Source organism: Homo sapiens, chromosome 3 (genome assembly GCF_000001405.40).
Source record: "Homo sapiens chromosome 3, GRCh38.p14 Primary Assembly".
Taxonomy (NCBI): domain Eukaryota; kingdom Metazoa; phylum Chordata; class Mammalia; order Primates; family Hominidae; genus Homo; species Homo sapiens.
The window spans coordinates 189,869,755-189,893,360 of record NC_000003.12 but is presented as its reverse complement, the minus strand read 5'-3'; the positions used below and the strand labels follow the sequence as shown (position 1 = coordinate 189,893,360).

The 23,606-nt window shown below is 38.8% G+C and overlaps 1 protein-coding gene across 13 annotated transcripts in view; it reads right to left on the bottom strand.

The window, feature by feature from the left end:
• Window positions 1–23,606, bottom strand: part of TP63 (tumor protein p63) — a 300,531-nt gene that overhangs the window by 3,916 nt on the left and 273,009 nt on the right. For 5 of the 13 annotated variants that reach the window (NM_001329964.2, NM_003722.5, NM_001329148.2 and 2 more), the window contains 4 exons: window positions 20,366–20,502; window positions 6,810–6,967; window positions 3,877–4,021; window positions 2,479–2,572 (listed from right to left, as the gene is read on the bottom strand). In NM_001329964.2, coding sequence (NP_001316893.1) covers window positions 2,479–2,572; window positions 3,877–4,021; window positions 6,810–6,967; window positions 20,366–20,502 — 534 coding nt within the window. Of the gene's footprint in view, window positions 1–2,478; window positions 2,573–3,876; window positions 4,022–6,809; window positions 6,968–11,857; window positions 13,298–20,365; window positions 20,503–23,606 lie in introns of those variants that run through there. The other 8 variants (NM_001329144.2, NM_001329145.2, NM_001329149.2 and 5 more) reach the window with 3 other exon arrangements.

The following is a 23,606-nucleotide window of genomic DNA, read 5'->3' as shown; positions in this document are numbered from 1 at the left end:
TGGCAGAGGTTTTGATGGTCACTGACTGGCTATAGAACTTCAGCAAGTCACTTATTCTCTACCAGCCTCAGTTTCTTCTTTGGTAAAATGAGATACAATTGCTTTATAGGGCAAAAGATGCTATAGACTCATAGGTAAATACAGCTATGAAAGTATTTTATAAATTACAACACACTCTATAAATATTAACCATTTGTATTATTATTATGTTGTATTGTTACCTCATTTTTGCATGTTATGGGGATACTAATGAAGTTCCCCAAATTTAGGTCACATTCCTTTTCCAGGAAGTGATGATGCCCAATAACTTAGACTGGCTCTAAGATAAAAGCTGAGAAAAGGGTGTCTCTTTCTAGAAATACGCAGGAAGAAGCTGAGGTGAGGAGGAGAAAATTGCACAGCTTCCCAACATTTCTCAATTTGGAAGTTTGTAGTCTGGTGTCATATTTTCCTATGGTGTGAATTTTCAGGCCATTAGAGGTATTCCTAATCTCTTACTGTAGCAGAAGAATACCTTATAAAGAAGGTAATCCACAAAAAAATAAGCATAGCTTTTTTTATTATTTTTTGAGACGGAGTCTTGCACTTTCACCCAGGCTGGAGTGCAGTGGCGTGATCTCGGCTCACTGCAAACTCCGCCTCCCAAGTTCACGCCATTTTCCTGCCTCGGCCTCCTGAGTAGCTGGGACTACAGAGGTGCACCACCACACCTGGCTAATTTTTTGTATTTTTAGTAGAGACAGGGTTTCACCGTGTTAGCCAGGATGGTCTCGGTCTCCTGACCTCGTGATCCGCCTGCCTCGGCCTCCCAAAGTGCTGGGATTACAGGTGTGAGCCACCATGCCCGGCCTAAATAAGCATAGCTTTTTATGTTTCTTGGATTCTTTATACTTTTGAGGCTCTCAGTAAATGCAAAGCTCTTTGTAAATTAGACTCTGTTCATTGTCATGATGCCCTGGATGGATTTTAACTAATGACTGACAGGTGAGAAAGCTGTGGCCCACAGATTGGCATAGGACTTAGTCAACATCAGCAGAAATGAACTTATAAAGGGTATCTGCAGATCCTAATGATCAAGGGAACATCCTGACACATTCCCCAGTGGAAATAAGTGAGCAAGTGGAAAGTATAACTTTAAAAATATAGGGAAGAGGAAGATTCTCTGTTCCAAAATGTAGGAATCTACTACAGGAGACTCTCTCAAATATAGGGCAACTCTGTTCTCTTCAGTGGACGGAAGTGACTGTAAAGTTATCAGAATAATACTGGAACTTACTCTTAAAGCTTTCCCTGCAGTTTTTGCTTATAACTTATTCTATCAGGGAGCAGCAGCCAGGAGTGATTTATGGGGTGAAGAGGGGTGGGCATAGGGGCAGTACACTATGTACACGTCACCTCATGGTGGGGGCATTCTTATGCTGCAGGGGCATCTCTAGCATCGGTGCTCAAGGAGGGGGAAAAAAGAGTCCCCAACAATAGAAGTAGCAGCAGAGGCAGAGACTGTCTTCTTCCCGCAGTCCAAAGTACCCTCTGGAAGCTAGAAGAGAGGCTAGTGAACCCCAAAGAGAGCAGCATGAAGAGCGCGGCCTAAGAGACAAATCAGATTGCCATAAACCAGAGCAACACTAGCTCCCGTGTGAGCAGGAGTTCAAAAAGTGGAGTAGGAAGCAAGAAAAAGTCCCCTCTCGCCCAGCTTGTTTCAAAGACAAATCAAAGGATATGAAAGCCAGAAAGGAGTAATTTGAACCCAATATTTTATTAACTGAGGCCCAGAGAGGCAAAGTGATAACCCCAAGTTCTCATTGCTACTAAAAAGGGTGATTGGGATTTGACCCCATAGCCATTGATAATGCCCAATGATTAGAAATGGCTGGGCTCTATTAGGATGAAACTGAAAATTAATAAAGGAACATATAGTTTTAATTGAGAGGAACGGCTGAATCTCCCTTAAGGTACTAATTTAAAGAAAGGCAGAAAAGGCCAGTTAATAAAGTTAAAGACTGTAAGCTTACACGTTTGTGTTCTATTCCTAGTTTTGTTTTAAATAGTCATGGCAAATGACTACTGTGTCATCTCTCCATGTTTTTAAGAGAATAGCACCACCGGTGCCCTGCTATCCTTTCTGGGAACTGATACAGATTAATGAGCACACTCAAAAAGTTGTATTAATTCTTTAGAAATTATGAATGTTTTGATTGCGGGAATAGCTCCTCTTTCCCACCTTGAGAATAGTGTAAGTGCAATAGACAATTGTTGACTGATAAGACAAGCTAAGGAAGATTGATTGCTAAGCTTCTAATATGTATAGGTTGAGGCCTGGGAATCTTTCTAACATAGTTATGGGTTCTATCAAAATGGATAATTGGGGGCATGACAAAAACAAATTTTTAAACTATCAGGGATTGAACTACAAGGCGGTTGTCATCAGAGGAAAGAAATGAAGAAATAAAATTTGAGAAAAGTCTAACAGTTACTTACATCCATGGAGTAATGCTCAATCTGATAGATGGTGGTCAGCCCCTGGGTCGTGAAATAGTCCAGACATGATGAACAGCCCAACCTCGCTAAGAAACTGCAGAGGGAGGAGGGAAGAGGAAGGAGGAAACAGAAAAAGAAAGTTCACCCCAACTGCATTGGCGAGATAAGGGAAAACCCAATATATTTTGCCCTTGGATGCCCCACATCAGAGATGAGGATTGGGTAATATATATGTGGGCCTTAAGTCTGAGGTCTGGAGATTACTGGTGACATGAAGTTTAGGTCTACAGAAATTAAAATCAACTATAAGGATTCCTGCAGATCAGCGATTATCATATGGTGATCTGTGGAATTCTAGGGTTCTGTGTAAGTGTCCTAGGAACCATTGCAAAGGGTGAAAGGGAAGTCCAGTGTTCAGGTTCCTAGCTTTCTTGCTGCTTGGCTCTACACTTCAAAAAGAACATCTCTACTTTATTTGTTTTGTATCTGGGCTTTGTGAGAATGGCTCATGTGGTTAAGAAAAAAATTGTAGGCCTCTACTCCATTAAGTCATTCATGCCTTTTGATTTATGTCCTTCTCAGGATACAGATCCCCTTCCTTTTGGTGCTGGTCTGAGACTGATGATGATGCCACCATCATTACAGAACAGACCCTGGGTGGAAAAGGCCACGCACTTTGCCATCCCTGTGATTGACGTAGCAGGAAAATCAACACAAATCGTTCCAGTAGCCAAATGAAACAATCATTCTGCACATGAAGCAGAAGAAGAAGATATACACTAGGCAAGAAATCTGGGAACCTACTCTTGCCTCTGTGGGAAGCAAATCTTTCAGGCTTCATGCATTTCTTTCTTCTGCTTATCTCAACTCCCCTTTTCTGGAGTGTGCCCATTTCCCATAGGCAGAGTAGTAAAGGCCATCAGTTTTTGAAAGTCCCTGTCATTTTGGATAACATTAAAACTTTTTATGGACATCCAACTCCAAAATAATGGTCCCATGGTGGCTGAGAGCTATAAGGATTAGAGAGAGAGGAAAAGGAGCGAGATAGCAAGTTTATTGCCCTTTTGGAAACCCAGCCCTGAGCACCAACTTGAGGGCCGCAATTGACAATGTAAAAATGTGAGAGAGGAGGAAGGGAGTAAGTGAAGGCGAGGGAAACAGACATGAAAACAATATGCCTATCAACAGACACTTTCCCTTGTTTCCATGCTGGTTATAGTAGTTTTCCTTGATAAAACATTGTTGACCACTCCACAGATCAGAGATAATAGTGACTGAACTCCAACCACAGGACTGCTGTCTTCCCTTCCAACTGTTTTATGGACTATAACAGTATCCGCCCTCCACCATCCCGGGATGCTTAGGGCAGGCCCCCAGGGGCACATGCTGTGGACTCACCTGACAATGCTGCAATCTGTGGGATACGGAGGTGGGGGTGTGCAGTGGGAGGTGGATGGCATGGAGAGTGGGGGAGGGAGTGCCTGGGTGGGGCTGAGTCCATTCATGTCTCCAGCCATTGGCATGTGGGTGCCCATCATGGGAACTGAACAGAAGCAGGAGGAACAAAAAGGGTTACTGCCATCATCATGTACCAGCATCCCAGTGGTCCATCTTGTCTGGTTAAATTTTATCAAGGGCCTAAACTACCAGCCTTCCTTTTTAATCTTCGCTCTCACTACACCCCTTCAAACAGCCTACATCTAGTCAAACAGAACGGTCAGACTCCAAACTAATTAGGCACCTCTTGACTTTTGTACCTTGTCCGAGAACAATCTCTTTCCTCCCCTTTCTCTGCTTCTAATTCTCTAATTGCTAATTGCTCTTAATGTTAACATATTCTTCCTTGTATTTGCCTTCGAGGGTGATATTTCTGTCTCCCTCACTAACCTGTGCAAGCACAGAGATTAGATCTTATAGGTGTCTAGATCCCTACAGTCCCTAGCACAGTGCCTGGCACAGAGTAGGTGCTCAGTAAACTTAGGGTAAGTGGATAAATGCACAAATCTGTGAATGAAAGAGTGACCCTTGGAACATTTATTTGGGAATAGGGAGACTGACTTCAATATTTAGAAGGACTCACGTGCCTAATAAATGATGATACAATTAAATATTCTATTACTTATGGTCCATTTTCAGGGTTGTATACAGGAACACCACCAATACTTACTGATATTTTACTAAACAATTAAGTGTAAACACTCACTGATAGAGAAAAAAAGTTTAATATCAATATTTATAAAATGAATTTTGCCTTCATGTCAAAAAGAACAAAATAATTTACTAAAAGATTAATGTAATTTGTTTCTACTTTAGTGAGTAGCAGTATGCCTAGAAAAGGTCTTTGCCACTAACTAGCTAACTAAAGAGCATACCCTATCACATCTCAATCTGTTTCCCTTCTGAAATAATTGTAAAGTACAAATAAGAAAAAAAGTAGGCAAACTGTAAGTTATACAAATGTGAACCATCATCACTATTATCACAATTTTGTCATACCAAGAAGGAACTTGAGGACTCTAAGATGTCACAAGAAATAAAATAAAGTTGAAAATAAATGGTTTCTACTCTTTTTATGTCAAAGTAGGCCTGTCAAGGGGTCAGGTTTTAAGCCTTATGATGAGTTTATCATTAGTGAGAGAGTGATCTCACTCTAAAGTCTACGTTTGCCATAACAGGCAACCATTGCAAACACACACACCTCTATCTCATTAAAATATGAATGTGTGGCCAGGCGCGGTGGCTCACGCCTGTAATCCCAGCACTTTGGGAGGCTGAGGTGGGTGGATCACCTGAGGTCAGGAGTTCGCGACCAGTCTGGCCAACATGGTGAAAACCCACCTCTACTAAAAATACAAAAAATTAGCCGGGCGTGGTGGTGCACGCCTGTAATCCCAGCTATTCGGGAGGCTGAGGCAGGAGAATCACTTGAACCTGGGAGGCAGAGATTACAGTGAGCCGAGATTGCGCCATTGCACTCCAGCCTGGGCAACAAGAGCGAAACTCTGTCTAAAAAAAAAAAAAAAAAACCAAAACAATGAATGTGTGCCATTAGACCACAGAAAGTCATAATCCTAGCCTCCCCTGATTTCTTTCAGAAGAGACAACACTGAAATGCTCGTTTAGAGGTTTGATCAAAATAATTAGGATTTCAAAAGACAAGCTTGAGGGTACTGTTTTTTAGGTAGTAAGGATTATATGATACCCATGCAATGTTCAGTCTTCTGTATCCCCGAGGGTGTTATACAATCTTTTGCATTTTTACCACGACTTTTTTTTCCTTCAAGTTTGTGTATCCACTTTGCTAGATTTAGTCCTAGTGGAGAAGATAATTATATTTATAGTAAAGCTATATGCCAGTCATCATCCACTTGGAGGCCCAATTCTTACAGTGCCTTTTTCATTTGTACTTAGCTGATATGAGGAATGTGTGTGAGAAGAAATAAAAGGCAGGTTCCTTCGTAGATCAGTTCCTTACTGACTGTGTCTGGGATAGAATAGGTGAGTTTAAAAGGCCAGGATTATAGAGTAACAGACATAAAATGTTAAGTATATATAGTGACAATTTTATGGATAGAAAATTAAGTATTCGAGAAGTAACTTCTTTGTAATTAGAGGTATTTTTTTCATAGAGTCCAGACGATAATCTACTTTTCTAGATTTTTTTTTTTTTTTTTGAGACTGAGTCTCACTCTGTCACCCAGGCTGGAGTGCAGCAGTGTGATCTCACCTTACTGCAACCTCTGCCTCCCGGGTTCAAGTGATTTTCATGCCTCAGCCTCCTGAGTAGCTGGGATTACAGGCATGCACCACCAGGCTCAGCTAACTTTTGTATTTTTAATAGAGACGGGGTTTCACCATGTTGGCCAGGTTGGTCTCGAACTCCTGACCTCAAGTGATCCTCCCGCCTCGGCCTCCCAAAGTGCTAGGATTGCAGTCGTGAGCCACCATGCCCGGCCTATTTCTCTAGATTTTAAGTTCACTGCAACATGCTACTTTATGCATGTTGCATTTGTTTCCTTTTGACTATTTCAAAGGCTGCAGGTGGTGAGTCTCCATCCAGGATAGCAGCAAGTAGACTGTTCTTTTCACAGAAATCCTTATCCCTACACTAAAGAAACATCCGTCCCTATCTCTACCAGTAGTATATTTTGCAATGAATGATAAACCTCAAAAGTGAAAGGTTCAGTCAGAAACCCAAGCCACTCCACTTTGATCTGATCTGTCCCACTGTGTCTCTCATTTAGCTTAAGAACATGCCTTCCCCATCACAGAGTCTTGTCCTAAGCTAGCCTGTTCATCCTTCAGCCACAGCTAAAAGGAGATGCTCTTACTGTTGGCTCCCATGCCATCAGGAATGGTTGTAGGAGTGAGGGCGTTGCGCTGCTGAGGGTTGATAAGCTGGCTCACAGAAGGCAGCTTGTTCATGCTGTTCATTTTGTTCAGAGGTGGGGAGCTGTTACCATATGAAGATGGAGACTGTATTGAGGTCCTAGGAAGACAAACATGGAAATAATGGTGAGCAAGGGACACTGAAGAGTGGGGACTATTGATTTTCAACAGGTCTCTGTTTAAAACATGGCCTCAAACCAAACATTTGAAAACATTCTTCTAGGATTAATGGTAAGAAGTTAATTTTGTTTCCATCTGAGAATATTTCCTGAATAGGGAGAAACTGACTGCGAGGCTATCATCAAATCATATTTTTCCTGAATGTGCAGAGTGCAAGGTTTAGTATTTCCTTTGAGAAAGAGAAAATTCTTGCCTCCTCTTTTCCCTTCAGTTGTTTTCTCCATTCCCTTCTCCTCTTTTCCCTTCAACTCAAATGAGTTTGAAAAGCAGTTAGGGAAAAGAATTGAGCAAAGACTTAAAGGCTGACGAAAAACATGGATATCCCACCCTCAAACTGCAGCTAAGGCATTCCATTTGTAGCTTTCTGTATATTCCATTTGGGATATGCAGAAAATGACTACAAACCCAATCAAACTGGGCATTTGGCAGCTCATCTTGCTGTCATGCAGAGGCCCCTACTTGGAAACATGCATTTTCAATAGAGATGTTCATGATGTATGAGAGAACCTACTGGAATGTCAAAAGCATTTCTACACAGGAGAACGCTGAAGCCCAAATAACTATTCTATTGACTTTCCAAAAGTCTCCTGGGAGAAATGAAAAAAACAAAGCAACAGAAAAACCCAATAGTTTTCCATTCAGCATGATCTTCAATTTGGAAAGTTACCAGAACTCATTTGTCATATTATATCTAACAGATAATATTCCCAACTCAACTGTCATTCCTGATGTTTTATCTTAATATAAAAACTAGTGATGTGTACTACAATGAGAGTCACAAAGTCAGAGATGAAGCCTTCCTCCGTCATCTGTTAGGATGCTATAGATGCCCATGCGAGCTACTTAACATCCTGGCCTTTGTTTTCTCACAAGAAAACTATATAAACTACATACATTTACACTTGCTGCATGAGTCAGATGTTCAAGTTAATAAAACTTAAGGCATGGTCCCCATCTTTGAGACACTCATAGAGTAGTGGAGGCAATGGATATAATAATCCATCCTACCTTATACGGCTATGATGAGAACTGAAAAAGAGAAGATGAGGAAGAAATGTACAGACTATGCAGCATCTACACTGAATTACTGTGACCACAGAATGAAGACTGGACTTTAAGCAAGTGTCTAGTCTGTTATGGGAAAACTCCCCTTTAACAATTCTCAAACAAAGCGAATTATGTTGTTCCTGTTTACCTTTTCCCTGTCACAGGCATATTTACATTAGAGGGGAGACAAATTTTTTCTTTGAGTTTTATCTGCATATATATGTATAATTCAAATTTTGGAGGCTCTGTAAATGGACCCAGGTTCCAAGCCTATATGGCATAATATTTGAAAAAAATCATTTTAAAAATGGCCCTAGCACTTAGGTGCTGCAATCGTAGGGATGGTCTTCGAAGCTGCCACTCTGCATTCTCTCCATAATTACATGAAAATAAGGAAGGCTCCATTCCATGTCAATGGAGAGCCACAGCTAGATGAATGCAAACAATATGCTGTATTTTAATGTGTATAAATTATCATGTCAATTAATGTAAATTAACAATTCAGGTGTATTTTACAATCACTGCCTTTAAGGTAGGAGGGCATTGACTTTTCTCTTTAGCCCTTATCAAATACTCACAATTATAGATCCACATTGTATATATATACTGGTGTTGATACAATAAATCCTCCCAACTATAAAACATTTCAGGTTACCGAACTCTTCTTTGTACATTTTCTGAATGATTGTCACACCATCCTTGTGGAGCAGGTCATGGTATAGCAGGGCAGAGATGGACAGAAATTACTATTCCAAATATACATATGGGTAAATATAAGGTTCTAAGAAAAAACATATGCCCAAGATCACATGTTGCTAAATGGATGCACTGAGGGCAGAACTAGGTCTCCTGGCACCTATTGTTTTTTCTAGGTTATGGGGACAAGAAATAGATGAAGTAGTAAGAGAAATGTAGGAGACCAAGATGGAAGAGGGGTAAAGGAGGTAACTCCAGCTACTACCAAGCACTTCTGAATCCACTCCGTCCCTGTGGGGGAACCTTTTCAAAGAGTCAGCACATATGGCTGCACTTAGGCTCATCCATTAGTCCACATCAGAGTATAGGAAAGCTTGGGGCAAGGCAGTAAGGAGATTCTCTGCCAGCTGATGTTTCTTCAATTCTCTTTGCTCACTGAAAAGTACCTAAGATTCCAGGTAGCCCATATTCCTGATGCAGTTGGTCCTCTGTAACCTGAGGAGACCTCTCTATCTGTCCCTCCTCAAACCAGTCAAATGTACAGCAAGAGCTAATAGAAAGCAGTGCTTGAATCATTAATAGCCACAATTAGAAAAATAAAAATACATTTAAAAGTTTTGCTTTTTTTTTTTTCTGGACGCTCAGAGTAAATTCCTTCTTACAATTCCTGTTACAACCTCCTGCTTTCTTTAGCTTATGGTTATTATTTTTGACTATTTTATTAGTTCATTTACCATTTTTCATCATAAGCCACTAATTTGAGGAGGGTAGGTCAGAAACCACAGATGAAGAAAGAAGGAACATGGATTCTAAGTCAATCAAAACATCTAACACAAACTTAGTGACGCAGGATGTTGTACAAGTTTCTTGAGTCTCATTTTCTTAACCTGTAGCCTAGATATTGTACCTACTCTAGAAGATTTCTATTAAGAATGAGATCATGTAACAGCCCTGGACAGGGTCCAGTGATTTGTAGGTGCTCAGGAAACATCAGCTTCTTAGCTTCTTTCACTGTTTCCCTCCAGCCTCAAATATTTAACACTCTGATATGTGGCCCATGGCATAGAAGATAACTATGTAAGAATTAATAGGAGGAAGTGGCCAGAGGTGAGTTGGATTCTTAATTGAACATACCCAGAAATGAGGGTGAACAGTTGAATGGGGTTAACAGTCAGGAAAGGTCAGAAATTCGGAATGCCTTCCCTTTAATATGAAAGTGAGTTTTAAAGCCACACGGAAGGGAAGCAAGGTAGTCTGTCTATTATTAATTTCAAAATGACTGAACTAGAAGAAGCATTCTGAAAACTACATACGGTGAAAAAGGAAGCAAGGCTGAATAAACTCAGCCAATTTGAAAGCCTTGAAGAACAACCTTTTTTAAAAAAAATTACAAATTTAATACAATAGTTCTTAAGTGAAATATTCCAAAAATTTCTGGAGAAACTAAAGAGAAGGAAAATGTGTTCAGAAGAATAACAGGACCTGTACCATTCTGGTTTTCTTGCCTACACTCTCCTCTCCTATCCAAAACCCAAAAAAGTAAGAATCCAGCTGTCTGCAGAAAAAAATCGTAAGGTGTATACCTCAGGTTGTTTTCTCTAGAGCCTCACTAGATTTTTCTAAGAATTCAGTGTAACAGAGATGTAGAAAATCATATTTCACGTATTTCCAGCTTTGAAGAAAAATCCTGGTGGAGCCAAGTCCCAGTTCTTAACTTTAACAATATAAGCTTCTGCACAGTTTCCGAAGAATAAAATTCAAAATTGAAAAGCGAGAAGTGGTTTTAGGACATATAGGACTTCAAATCAGGTTTTCTGGTTCCAACCCTAGTGACTATCTATGTGGTAGAATATCAAAATTCCTGCGCAGACACAAGTTACACTATCTACCTCCTAGATGTCTAGAATTCCACTAGATTCCTTCTTTTGGCTAAAATCTTCCACTGCTCATTAAAAAGCAACCCTCTAGTAGGATTTGGTGATAGCTTAGGCCAAATCTATTTCAACAAACCATTTCTGCAGTAAAGAATTTGGGAGCAGAAAGGGATACTGAGGGCGGAGCAGAGCATCCTTGTTATGAGAAAGGTCAGGAAAAAAAAAAAAAAAAGGGAAAACATGGACCATCAGAAAAAGAATCATATCTTCTCTCAATTTTACCCAGTACTGCCTACCTGTGACCTTTCTCTCTAGCCGGGTTATCTGGCTACTAAAGACAGTGCAGCATTTATTCTCTAGATGGGAAAACTGTAATTTTCTAATATTTTCCATCATTTCAAATATGTGCATTTATATACAAGTCACTATAAACACATTAAAAACTTACTTAAAAAAGGCTGAAAGAAAAGAAAAACCCTTCTGAAAGAAAAGCAAATATCAAAAAACGAAACATACTCACCAATCCTTTAAGGGCTTTGTGAATCAAAGTTATTAGACCAATTGAAAAACACCTTGCAAATATAACAGGAGCATCTGGTTTTACTAATATACTTTTATCTCAAATATAAAGATTTTTTTTTCTGAAATATTTATCTAAAATACTAATTTTTTTTTTTTGGTTAGAACTTCTTATGAAGCTTTTAAAAGCAATTATTCAGGGCTCAAAACATAAGTAAAAAAAAAAATTGGACAATAGGTTCCACTGTTGATTTCTGGCCAAATATTTGCTAATGTCTATGCCACAGAAGCCATGTTATTTAAAACATTTGGATTTGATTGAAATTCACTTTAGTAAATTTGGCGAATTAACATACAACTAGAGGTTTGTCAGGAATGTCAATAAATGATTCTATGGTGTCTGGCTTCCTAGGACAAACTTTAAAACTCATAGAGCTAAAGTATTTTTTTAAGTTAGTTTAGGCATTTTAGTTCCTTGTTACGATTGATGACCTTGATACAGAGTATCTTAAATAAAAATACCAAATACTGACAGAAGAAATGTACGTAGGAACAAAGTGATGATTCTATTATTATTCTTGTTCCTTAGACCTACACATGCTACTTCAAGCACTTACATGAGAATATTCTAGTATTTAGTGGAAAAAAAGTGAGAGAGACAGAAACAAAAAAACTGCAAGATAAACCAAGATGCAAAAGTTTATTGAAAATTAAAATCACACATCCACAAAAGCAACAGCCTCAATAACAAGAAATCATTGTCTTGGTGACAGAAAATACAGTGCTGGTGACTGGGTGTGGGAAGATGGAGGGGAGGAACATTTTTAAAGTCTTTATGCTATTATCTTAAAATATGTTTTTAAAATGGAAAGAAACAGAGATTCTCTAAACTTTTGAGTAAAAAAAAGAAAAGTAGTCTACCCTTTCAATCTTTAATTTCCAGTCCAGGAGTGCTGATTTTAACACGTCTGCTTGGATCTCACTTACTCAAAACGTAAGTCTCCTGGCTAAATGCACTGAACAGTATCAGTAATATGGCTGGTTTTATGGTAGGTAGGCTTGAGGGATAGAAGCTCTAATTAAGCAAATTAATCACAGATTTTGTGAGAGGGCTTCAAATTCTATTTTGAGCTTTGAATAATGGTAAACAACTACGTAAGGGCAATATTACTGGGGTGGATTTGTCTTTCTATTAAAAGCACAAAATGAGTTCACCTGCTATGGGGGCCAAACAACAGTTTTTTTGTAGTAGGTCTTCCAGGGTTTCATGTACAAGAAAAACTTTAGCATAACAGATGCCAACATACAGTGGCAGAGGCAGGTACACAGCATTAAGAAATGTTCTACCTACACATGAGGGGAGGACACAAATAATGCAAGTTCTCACAAAGAACTCTCCACCCACAAAGTTGATTACTTTTGGTAATGATCACCTCGCTGCCCAGCAGTACACTTGACACCTTCGTTTCTTACTACTTGCAATATTATTACATGACCAGCATTAAAAGGGTCTGACTGAGTCTCTCAGTCACCTACAACTTACTTATGCACAGACAATAACAACTTTTTTCTCCTTTTCTTAAAAAGACATCTTAAGTTTGAGACCTGCTCAAAAGCTTCCCTGTGAATTTTAGAAAAACAACAGAAGAAGACAGAAAAGGGTTCCAATAAACATCTTAATGCCCCTTTCCCCACCTGACCCCTCCCTCCCAGGAAACAACAGAAAGCTCACAGACAAACACAGTGGTTCCTCACCCACCAATGGCCGGTCTAAGGATACAAAATCTGCAGAAAACATCCTTTCTTGTAAAGGTTTGAGTCCCTTCAAAAGATTCTCTCACTAGTGGCTTTGTGCCTTTGAGCAGTTGGGTCTCTGAGCCAAAGTGTCTTCAAGTCCTGTTTATGAGGGCTAGATACACACGCACACACATACACACACACACACTCACATATACACATGGAAATACAACACACACACTTAAAATATAGAGATAGGGCTCTATGGGTACACTGATCGGTTTGGGGGCTTGGAATGTCTAAAGAAGACGTCAGATTGTTTTGGAGTTTCTCTCCGGGGCTCCACAAGCTCATTCCTGAAGCAGGCTGAAAGGAGACTGCAGAGAGGAACCAGAGAAAAGAAAAAATGAAGGCCTAGGACTTCATCTATTCAAATCAATTGAATTCAGAAACACACTCCTTATACCTTCATGATCATAGTATAGACAGAATAGAGTGCCTGAAAAGCTATTTTTGTTCTTCCAATTTATCTTCTTTTACAATTACTGAGACTTCTCAAGATTTTTATGAGGAAGAAATGGGATAAGGCTATAGTAGTTAACCAGAAATAAACATCAGAATCACTTGTGAAACTTATAAAAATGCATTTTCCTGGCTCCCTTCCAACACAAGCTGGCATCCAGGAAAACATATTTTTAATAAGTTACACAAGGCGATTCAGTCGAGGACCACTGAGATAAGGTAGATCAAGGTATTTAACACAGTGCTTCGCATACGGTTTACTGGACTCAATTAAAAAAAAGGAATGAAGAAGAAGAAACTTGAATCTTTTGTAAAATGTCATCTGGTCAATTATTATCCCTCATTACAGTTCTTGTCTAGCCTAAGTGTGAGGTATAGAGAAATATGATATTATCAGAATGGGGCCTGTGGCATCAGGCATTTACAAAGAACTGTTTAATGAGTATTTTGGATATTCCCAGATTGAGATGGATAAATACCTTAATCCTTTGAGTAAAAAACTCGGCCTATAAATGCATATATCAAACCCAAGAAAGCAATTTTTTGCATAATTAAGAAATTATTTACACCACGAGGATGCCAGAAATAAACCCTTTTATTTTGCTGAAAGTTGGGCAATCTCATGAACTGTTTGGAAATTGTTTCCCAGATTGGCTTCTTGAATCACATTTGGCTATGCCTTTCAAAGGAACAAAGTCATTTTTATTTGCTTAATGCTAGGATTCAGTAAACCATGTCACCGGCAAGAATTGATATCATCTTAACAGAATATGCCCGAATAAAAATGGATGGGGAAGCAATGTACAGCTAACTAAAGACCTCTAAGACCTAGGACTGAGCCTGATTCTGCAATGAGGTGAGAGAAGTTACAAAAGTAATTTAATCTATCTGAGTTTAATTAATCATTGAGTTTTTTCTTCATTACCAATTCAGAGATAATAAATCTCTGCCCTGAAAACTTCATAACTATGAAATTCAAAAGTAAACTGTAGGCTGGGCGCGGTGGCTCACACCTGTAATCCCAGCACTGTGGGAGGCCAAGGTCAGGGGGATCACAAGGTCAGGGGTTTGAGACCAGCCTGGCCAACATGGTGAAACCCCGTCTCTATGGTTTTTCTTCATTACCAATTCAGAGATAATAAATCTCTGCCCTGAAAACTTCATAACTATGAAATTCAAAAGTAAACTGTAGGCTGGGCGCGGTGGCTCACACCTGTAATCCCAGCACTGTGGGAGGCCAAGGTCGGGGGGATCACAACGTCAGGGGTTTGAGACCAGCCTGGCCAACATGGTGAAATCCCGTCTCTACTAAAAAAAAAAAAAAAGAAAAAAAAAATTATATATATATATCAAAATACAAAAATTAGCCGGGCATGGTGGCAGGCATCTGTAATCCCAGCTACGCAGGAGGCTGAGGCAGGAGAGTTGTTCGAACCCAGGAGGCAAATGTTTCAGTGAGCCGAGATCATGCCACTGCACTCTAGCCTGGGTGACAGAGCAAGACTCTGTCTCAAAAAAAAAAAAAAAAAAAAAGGAAACTGTAAAAGCTTGTGTAGTTCCATAATAACTATAAGGGTGAATCATATGAAATTATCAATATTCATCTCTTTTTAACCTATAAAGCTGGCAATTTCAGATATTCTGGAAACGTGGAGGATTTCTCTGTCTAACCTAGAAATACGGTGTTGACATTTTCTATCAGTTTGGAGACCGTGTACCTTTCTCTTTTCTACATTGATAATACTGAAAATACTGCCTGCTTCTCCCTCAGATACATGAATCTGAGAAAAAAATATCAATATTCTTGATGATAACCATCGCCAAACAAGTTTAAAGATACAGGACTTTAAAGTGAACCTACAAGAATAAATACCAAGTAACTAACAACAGAGTCAGAAAAACGTGCCAGGCACAGTGGGGTGTGCCTGTGGTCCACAGCTACTCGGGAGGCTGAGGCAGGGGATCGCTTGAGCCCAGAAGTCCAAGTCCAGCCTGGGCAAAATAGCTAGACCCCATCTCTAAAACAATCCTACAAAAAAGAGACAGAAAAATGGAAATAGATGTTTAAATTTTATAATTAACTACTTACTTAACTGCCAATGTAGCAGAACACAACATTACAAAGAGCTCTATGTTCTAAATCTGATTCTAGTCTTAGCTTTATTATAAACTGGCTATAAATTCACAGAGCCTCAGTTTATCCGGCTATGGTGTGAGGGGCTGGAACCATGGACTTGGAGATCCTGCTTTGTTCTAATAATCTCTGACTTGTGTTACTAATGAGCCACAATTGTCAAGTAATCATAAAAGAGAAGGAAACACTAAGGGCTCATCAGGATGTCACAGATCTGTTTTATCATTTAAATAAAATTCATCCTGTAGAAGCTCAAAAATAAATTTCCAGAGGAAAGTAAGAGCTAGCCTAAGCGAGACTGTAACAAAGTGATGTCAGCCTCGCTTTTATGTTGGAAGCCAAGAATAAGGGAAAACAACTAACAAATGAAAAAAGAAATAGTACTGATCTGAAGTACAGAAGTCAAAACGTTGCTAAATAGGTCTCAAGAGGCTTCTGCAAAGCTGTCTTAAGCGTTGATGTCCCTTGATAATAGGATGGCAAGAAGTCTAAAGATAGGGTCCGATTTGTCTTTCTATTAGATTCTGGCATCTAGAAACATAACTCTCTATATTTATTCCAATGTAAGCAAATCAACTAAAATCACATTTCTTCGTAATATAAAGCCTACTTGTATCTATAACAATTTGATTCACAGCAGCTCTGTAAAGTCTATCTTCGATAAAGCCTATGATCATGAAGGTAAACGCGAAGAAATTTTTTTAAAAAGAAAAACCATGCACAAATGAAAAGCAGGCAGAAGAAAACACATAGTGGGAACCTAATAGAAGTAATTAAAGTAAAAATATTGTAGTGCCACCTTACAGAAAGTACGTTCTCTTCCCACTAATTTTCCCTCTACTATAAAGAAAAATACAAAATTGATTCCTTACCAGCATAAAATTGGTACTATCTTTTTGGAAAGAAAATCACAGGCTATTATAGGTATTTTCCAAGCTGATTTATTCTTTTCAAATGATTGCCAGGAAATTAGATTTTTGTTTTTCTTTGTTTAGTCATTCATGCTCTTTCTTGGAGATTTGCATGAAAATAAGAGCTAAAAAAACTCAGCTGAAGAATTCAACTGAAGGATTTATATAGATGCATATCAATCACTGGAGACCCATGTATATATAATGTTACAAAGACATAATTAGACCAAATGTCTATATTTTGCAAAGATTTAATTTTGCAGTCTGTTAGATTTCCATGCACAAGTTATCACAGCTGTGAGATACCAACTCAAAAGCATGCATATAATACAGTTAAATGAACACACCAGGGAACTATGAAGCTACTAGTTCTTTACTATCTATCTGTGGCCACACATGCAAAAAAGTGTAAATATGTCCCTAAAATCTTGTGTGCTTTTAAAAATAACACAATATTAACATGTGTTTTCTTCTCTGGGGACACAGATTATTTTATGAAATATGAATAAAAAATTCCCTTTAGAGCAATGTGAGCCGGTCAGACAATAAGCACTGGATACTCATCGTATAGAAAAAGAGGGTTATGTATTTTCATGTATGCCATAAAAACAAATACATTTAGCATATGCCCCTGAACTGAATGATGTCAATCCTCCTGGCTTGTCAAGTTTCTAAAACAATGACATGAAACTATTCTTTTTCTCATATGATCCATGGAAACTGTTTAAAATTGTCCTATTAACTTGCACAATGCTGAGGATAAATTTCCAGAGCTTTCTTCAAACTCAGAGTGTTAAGGTTAGAAATTCACCATTAAATTGTAGACCATGGGAAGGCAGGAGCTACATCTTTCTCACCTCTATCCTTAATGCTTTCACATAGCACATCTTCAATAAGAATATGTGACGTGAATCAAGTCAACTATTCCAGCCTCATCTGACAATGAGGTTGTGTCGTTAACTACATTTTATATCTGGATGGGCATGCCTCACTTTCTCAGACAAAAAAGATATCTGTTCAAGGCTGGTGTTGCTTTTTATTAGATACTGAAATGCCACCTGAAAAACCACTTTAGGATTTCCTAAAATCTTTTAATAACTTTCTAGCTTGGAATATACATATTAACTTCCAAGTACACCTATCAAACAAAATTGGAGCCTCAAGAAGCAATGAAAGGAGATCCACGCATTTATCTATAAGACAGACTATCAAACTACAGCAAGCTAAGAATAGTTTATATATATATATATATATATATATATATATATATATATATATATGTATGTATTTTTTTTTCTTTTTCTTTTTGAGATGAAGTCTCTCTCTGTTGCCCAGGCTGGAGTGCAGTGGCACAATCTTGGCTCACTGCAACCTCTGCCTCCCAGGTTCAAGCGATTCTTCTGCCTCAGCCTCCCAAGTAGCTGGGACTACAGGTGCGTGCCACCTTGCCCAGCTAATTTTTGTATTTTTAGTAGCGACGGGGTTTCACCATATTGACCAGGCTCGTCTCGAGCTCCTGACCTCGTGATCCACCCACCTTGGCCTACCAAAGTGCTGGGATTACAGGCGTGAGCCACCGTGCCCGGCCTACAGTTTTTAATAGGGGGAGGAACAATCAAAAGGAGAATAATATTTCACGGCATGTGAAAATTATATGAAATTCAAATTTTAGGGTCCATAAAGTTCCATTTATGGAACAGCCACTCTCTTTCCTTTATGCATTATCTTCGGCTGTTTCTGTGCTACAACCACAGAGCTGAGTAGTTGCAAAAGACAATATAGACCCAGAAAATCTAAATATTTACTACCAGGACTTTACAAAAAGCAGCTTGCCAATTCCTGTACTACATATGAGACCTTTTCTTATTAACTGAAAAAAAAAAAAAAAAAAAGACAGGAAAGAGTACTGAAGAGCAACTAGTTCAGCATGATATATTACTTAGTGATGTTTTGGAGGTCATTTTGGTATAGTCAAACTTTCAGAGTGAACAGGAGGAAATTTGAGGGTATTTCTTAATACCATGACACACATATCTTAGGAAAGGTAGATATCCCTCCTGGGTCTATAAATGATGTTACAGGTCTCTGTTTCTTTGATCCTGGTTGTATGGTTTTATAAGAACTAAATCATTTTCCACTTAAATATGTTAGTATATATTTCCATCTGATATCCCAAAACATCCATATGATTAGCAATGGAAATTGTGTCTGCAACTCTGAGTTCTAATTCTCCTTCAGAATACACTGTGTGATTAAACTTTCTGCTCAGGCTTACAAATAAAACCATACCATTAAAATTTGCAAAACTTTTATGCTAAAAGTAAATGGTGAGATCCCTTCGGGCCAAAAAGGATCTTGGATGCTCAAATAGCTTAGAGTCCTTTGAACAGAGAATGTGCCTCTTTTCTCCCTGCCGTCTACTCCACTCTGTAGATAACAGGTGCTCAGAAAGTGTTTCTTTACTATCAGAGATACATTCATATTGATTAAAACATAATAACAAGGCCGGCACGGTGGCCCACACCTGTAATCCCAGCACTCTGGGAAGCCGAGGTGGGTGGATCACCTGAGTTCAGGAGTTCGCGACCAGCCTGGCTAACATGGTGAAACCCCATCTCTACTAAAAAATACAAAAAATCTGCCAGGCATGGTGGCAGGTGCCTCTAATCCCAGCTACTCGGGAGGCTGAGGCAGGAGAATCACTTGAACCCGCTAGGCAGAGGTTGCAGTGAGCCAAGAAAGTGCCACTGCACTCCTACCTGGGTGACAGAGCGAGACTCAATAATAATAATAATAATCATAAGCCCTCTTTATTACACTTTCCACAGCTGACTCCCTACAACAGCTAATAACATAGAAAATAACCATTTTTATTGTTCATTTGCATTTCTATTGTAAAATATAATCTTTGCCTCTGGAAGATAGTTTTTGACTTCTTTTTTGCCTAAAGTATGAAGTTGAAAGTCTACATTACTCAAGTGGACTCATAATGTATATATTTTACACTTATCTACAGAGTCTCTGACAATACTTCCAGGACACATATCATATTTTAATTAAACTAACAAGTGATTATTTTTAACCACAGAAAGGTAAATATAAACAAGGTCCTGATTGGTCAACCTCTCATCCTTTCATAAGAGCTATTCTATTCTAGTCAGTCATAAAATCACTTTAGGAAAGATCCAAGATTCAAGGCAAAGCTTAACATATAAATAGGTTATATGTATATGGTAATATACTTGAAAAATCTGGCTTGATTTATGCCAAAAATGTACTGCTGGAAGACAATCTAGAGCAGAGATTCTAAAATACGGCAACATGATGCTACCTTATCCTTCTGCACCCAGATATTTCCCCAATTATCATGCACTAGGTCTCAGAATTCTTCTCATTACAGCATTCAAACAAGTCACTTTATATTATAGTAAAGCCTATTTGCTATCCCTGGTCTACAGTGTTATTCCCAAAAGTGGATAGTGTGCATCCCAGGAGATTTATAAGACAATCCATTGGGATGAGAAAAGATTTCATGTTTTCAAATATACACATCACTACCAAATAGAGTGTGTACTTACTGTTAGTGTGTATGGACCAGGCATATAGAGACGAGAACTGTTAGTGTGAGTTTCTTTGTAATTCACCAGAAATGGTTTGTATTTAATTTCAGAACATAAGTGGAATTCTGAAGGGAAGGTTATAATAAGACACGTAAAAAAGGTTGCAACTGAAAGAGGGTTGCCATACCAGGTCATCTGAATCTATGACAATCTGCTATCTCCCATTATGTTCCACATTGCTCATCAATCACCCTATTGCTGATCCAAATAAAGTCACCCTCACTCATGCCTCCTAAAATGACACGTTGATACACTCACTGTTTCTGAAGTAAGTGCTGGTGCTGCTGCTGTTGCTGTTGCCTGTACGTTTCAATTGTGTGCTGAGGAAGGTACTGCATGAGTTCCAGGGACTCTTTGATCTTCAACAGCATTTCATAAGTCTCACGGCCCCTCACCTATGGAAGTGAGCAGAAGGAAAGAAGGAAACATGAAAAGCTGTAGAACTGTTAGAAGTGTGGTCAATCCTCATTATTTGAGGATTCCGTAATTGCAATTTGTTTATTTGCTAACGTTTATTTGTAACATGAAAATCAACACTCTTGGCCCTTTTGTGGTCTTTCAGACCCGGGCAGAGTGATGAAAAATTTGAGTCACCTGTGTGCATTCCCAGCTGGTTCGAACAAGGAGATGCTCTGTCATCTTGTAGCTCTTATACCGTAAACCCACGTTCTTTTCATGGTCTATTTAGCGCCACGTGTTTTACATTTTTGTGCTTTTCATTGGTGATTTTGTTATTTAAAAGACCCTCAAGGGCAGTGCGGAAGTGCTATCTAGTGTCCCTAAGTGAGAGAAGGTCGTTCCATGCCTTATGGAGAAAATATGTGTGTGTGTGTGTGTGTGTGTGTGTGTGTGTTAGAGAAACTTTATTCAGGCATGAGTTATAAGGCTAATTGGCCACGAGTCTGATGTTAATGAGTCAACGGTATATATTAAATAAAATGTCTCTTAACAGAAACACACAACAAACGAAGTGATATATTATTCTGTTGTGAAATGTATGTGACCAGAGGTGCATAGGAACCCAATCCTATATTTCTCTTAGGAGCGATGAGATGATTCATATCCACCAATACCATTTTTGCAACACCTTCATAAAACTAAACTACTACAAAAAATAAGAATAGATTGTAACTATGTTTGATAGGATAAAAGTTTCCATGTGGGATAAAATATGTTTCTCTCTTTAAGAGAGTCCCTTAAAATCTTTAAATAAAAGCTCTTAAAGGCTTTTACAATTATGAGCAGGGGCCAGACATGGTGGCTCACACCTACAATCCCGGCAATTTGGGAGGGAACAGATTGCTTGAGCTCAGTAGTTCAAGACCACCCTGGGAAAAAAACTCCTTCTCTACAAAATGTGCAAAAATTAGTGGGCGTGGTGGCCCACACCTGTGGTCCCAGCTACCTGGGGAGGTGAGGTGGGAGGATTGCTGGAGTCTGGGAGTCTGAGGCTGCAGTGAACCATGATCCTGCCACTACACTCCAACCTGGGCAACAAAGTGAGATCCTGTTTCAAAACAAACAAAAACCAAAAAAACGGATGAGCCGGGCCAGGACTAGAGTGAGGCAAGAGAGGCACTTAGCACAACTGCATTGCCTTGGGTGTGAGTGACTATTTAAATTTTGCACCCTAGGCACTTTAACTGCCTTACCCCAGTTGCTGCACCCAGTAGGAAAGGCAGAATTAGTCAGAATTCAGAAATGAAAAATGTTCTCCACCTTTTGTTGAATTAACTCTTACTCATCCCAGCTGTGGGACCCCTTCTCTGAGAAGCTTTTCTTGATCTTACTCTTATTTATAGTTTTTGCATCTTTGGAGCTTCTTGGGTACTCACACAGCACTAGGCCTTGATCTAGGAATATTTATTTTATTACATTACATTTATTTATTACATTATAACTGTTTGTGTCCTCAATAGAAGGCAAGGTAGTTGAAAGTAAGAATTGTATCCTACTGAACTCTAAATGCTCAAGGTCTAGCATATTTGCCACTCACCAAACACCAACAAAATATATATTAAATTAATGGAGTTTTTCCTCACCCATAAATTATTTAGGCTAAGTCTTCTCTCAACTTGAGACATGACACTAAGAAGGATACCTCCTTCTTAGTACAAACTGAAATTTTAAAATAATTTTTCAAGCAGTTCCTGTTTTATCAGCTGAAAACATATTAAGACTTTTGGAATATTTAGTGTATCAGGGTAATGTTTTACTTTAACATCACAAGTCAGTTTCCATATATACCTTGAGAAACAAGACACTGGGAATCTCAGCTAACTCACCGTCTGATTGGTCTACTGGCAATTTATTCCCCTGAGAGTCAGGACCCAAAGAAGATGAGGAAGAAAGTGCAGCACACCTAAATCCGTTGACTTTCGTTAGTTCAATCCCAGGGTAGTAGTTCATGGTCAAATCTCCTGGCCCTGCTTGGCTGTGTCTCATGTCATCGCTTTAGATGGCATCAAGGGCTATGCCAGCCACCAAAACGTCATTGCCACCCTACATGGCAAAGACCTAATGCAATAAGAATTCAACTAACTAACTGCAACCATAATCTAATAAAGTGATCTCATTAGTGATTGCAAGAGAAGTAATGTCCCTTGTAGGAATTAATGAGGTTCTTACATAATAATTGGGCTAAGACTTCTGGCCATTTACATACACAGTTGTCTTTTGATATCAGCAGAGCATTGATTCCAGGACTACCCACCCCCATCTGGCCCCCATGGATACTAAAATCCTAGGTTGCTCAAGTCCCTTATATAAAATGGTGTAGTATTTGCACGTAACCTATGCATATCCTCTGTATAGTTTAAAATTACCTCTAGATTACTTATAATATCTAATATAATGTAAATGCCATGCAATTAGTTGTTATACTATATTGTTGTTATATTTGTATTATTTTGATTGGTGTATTTTTTTATTGTTTTTTTCCAACTATTTTTGATCTGTGATTGGTTGAATCTGCAGATATGGAACAGGCAGATAGGGAGGGCTGACTGTAATTCAGGCTTCTGCCTTGCTTGGCTTTCTTTATAGTGCTGCCTAAAAGACATCAAAGTCAAGGCTATCATTGCTGCATTATCAATTTTGTGAACTTTTTCTGACAACATTTTCGGCCTAAATTTCTATGGCCATGCTGCCTAGGATAATCTTATCATTCTCAAATAATGAAGGACAAATTAATTTTAAATATTAGGGTAAGAAAAATTCTGTTAGGAGTTTAGCTTTAGTTGGGTGGGTAGGTAAGTAGAGAAGCTCATGCTAGTAATACAGTCCAAAACTGTGGAGAGAAAGAATAATATTCTAATTTTAAAAAACACATATTTTCTCTCCTTTGTATCACCAGCTCTCAACCGTCTCCCCTCTTCCCCATTATGGACTGAAGGTTTCTGTCCTTCCAAAGTTCACAGATGGAAATTTTAACCCCATTGTGATGACATTAGAAGGTGAGTCCTTTGGGAAGTAATTTAGGTAATGAGAGTGGAGCCTT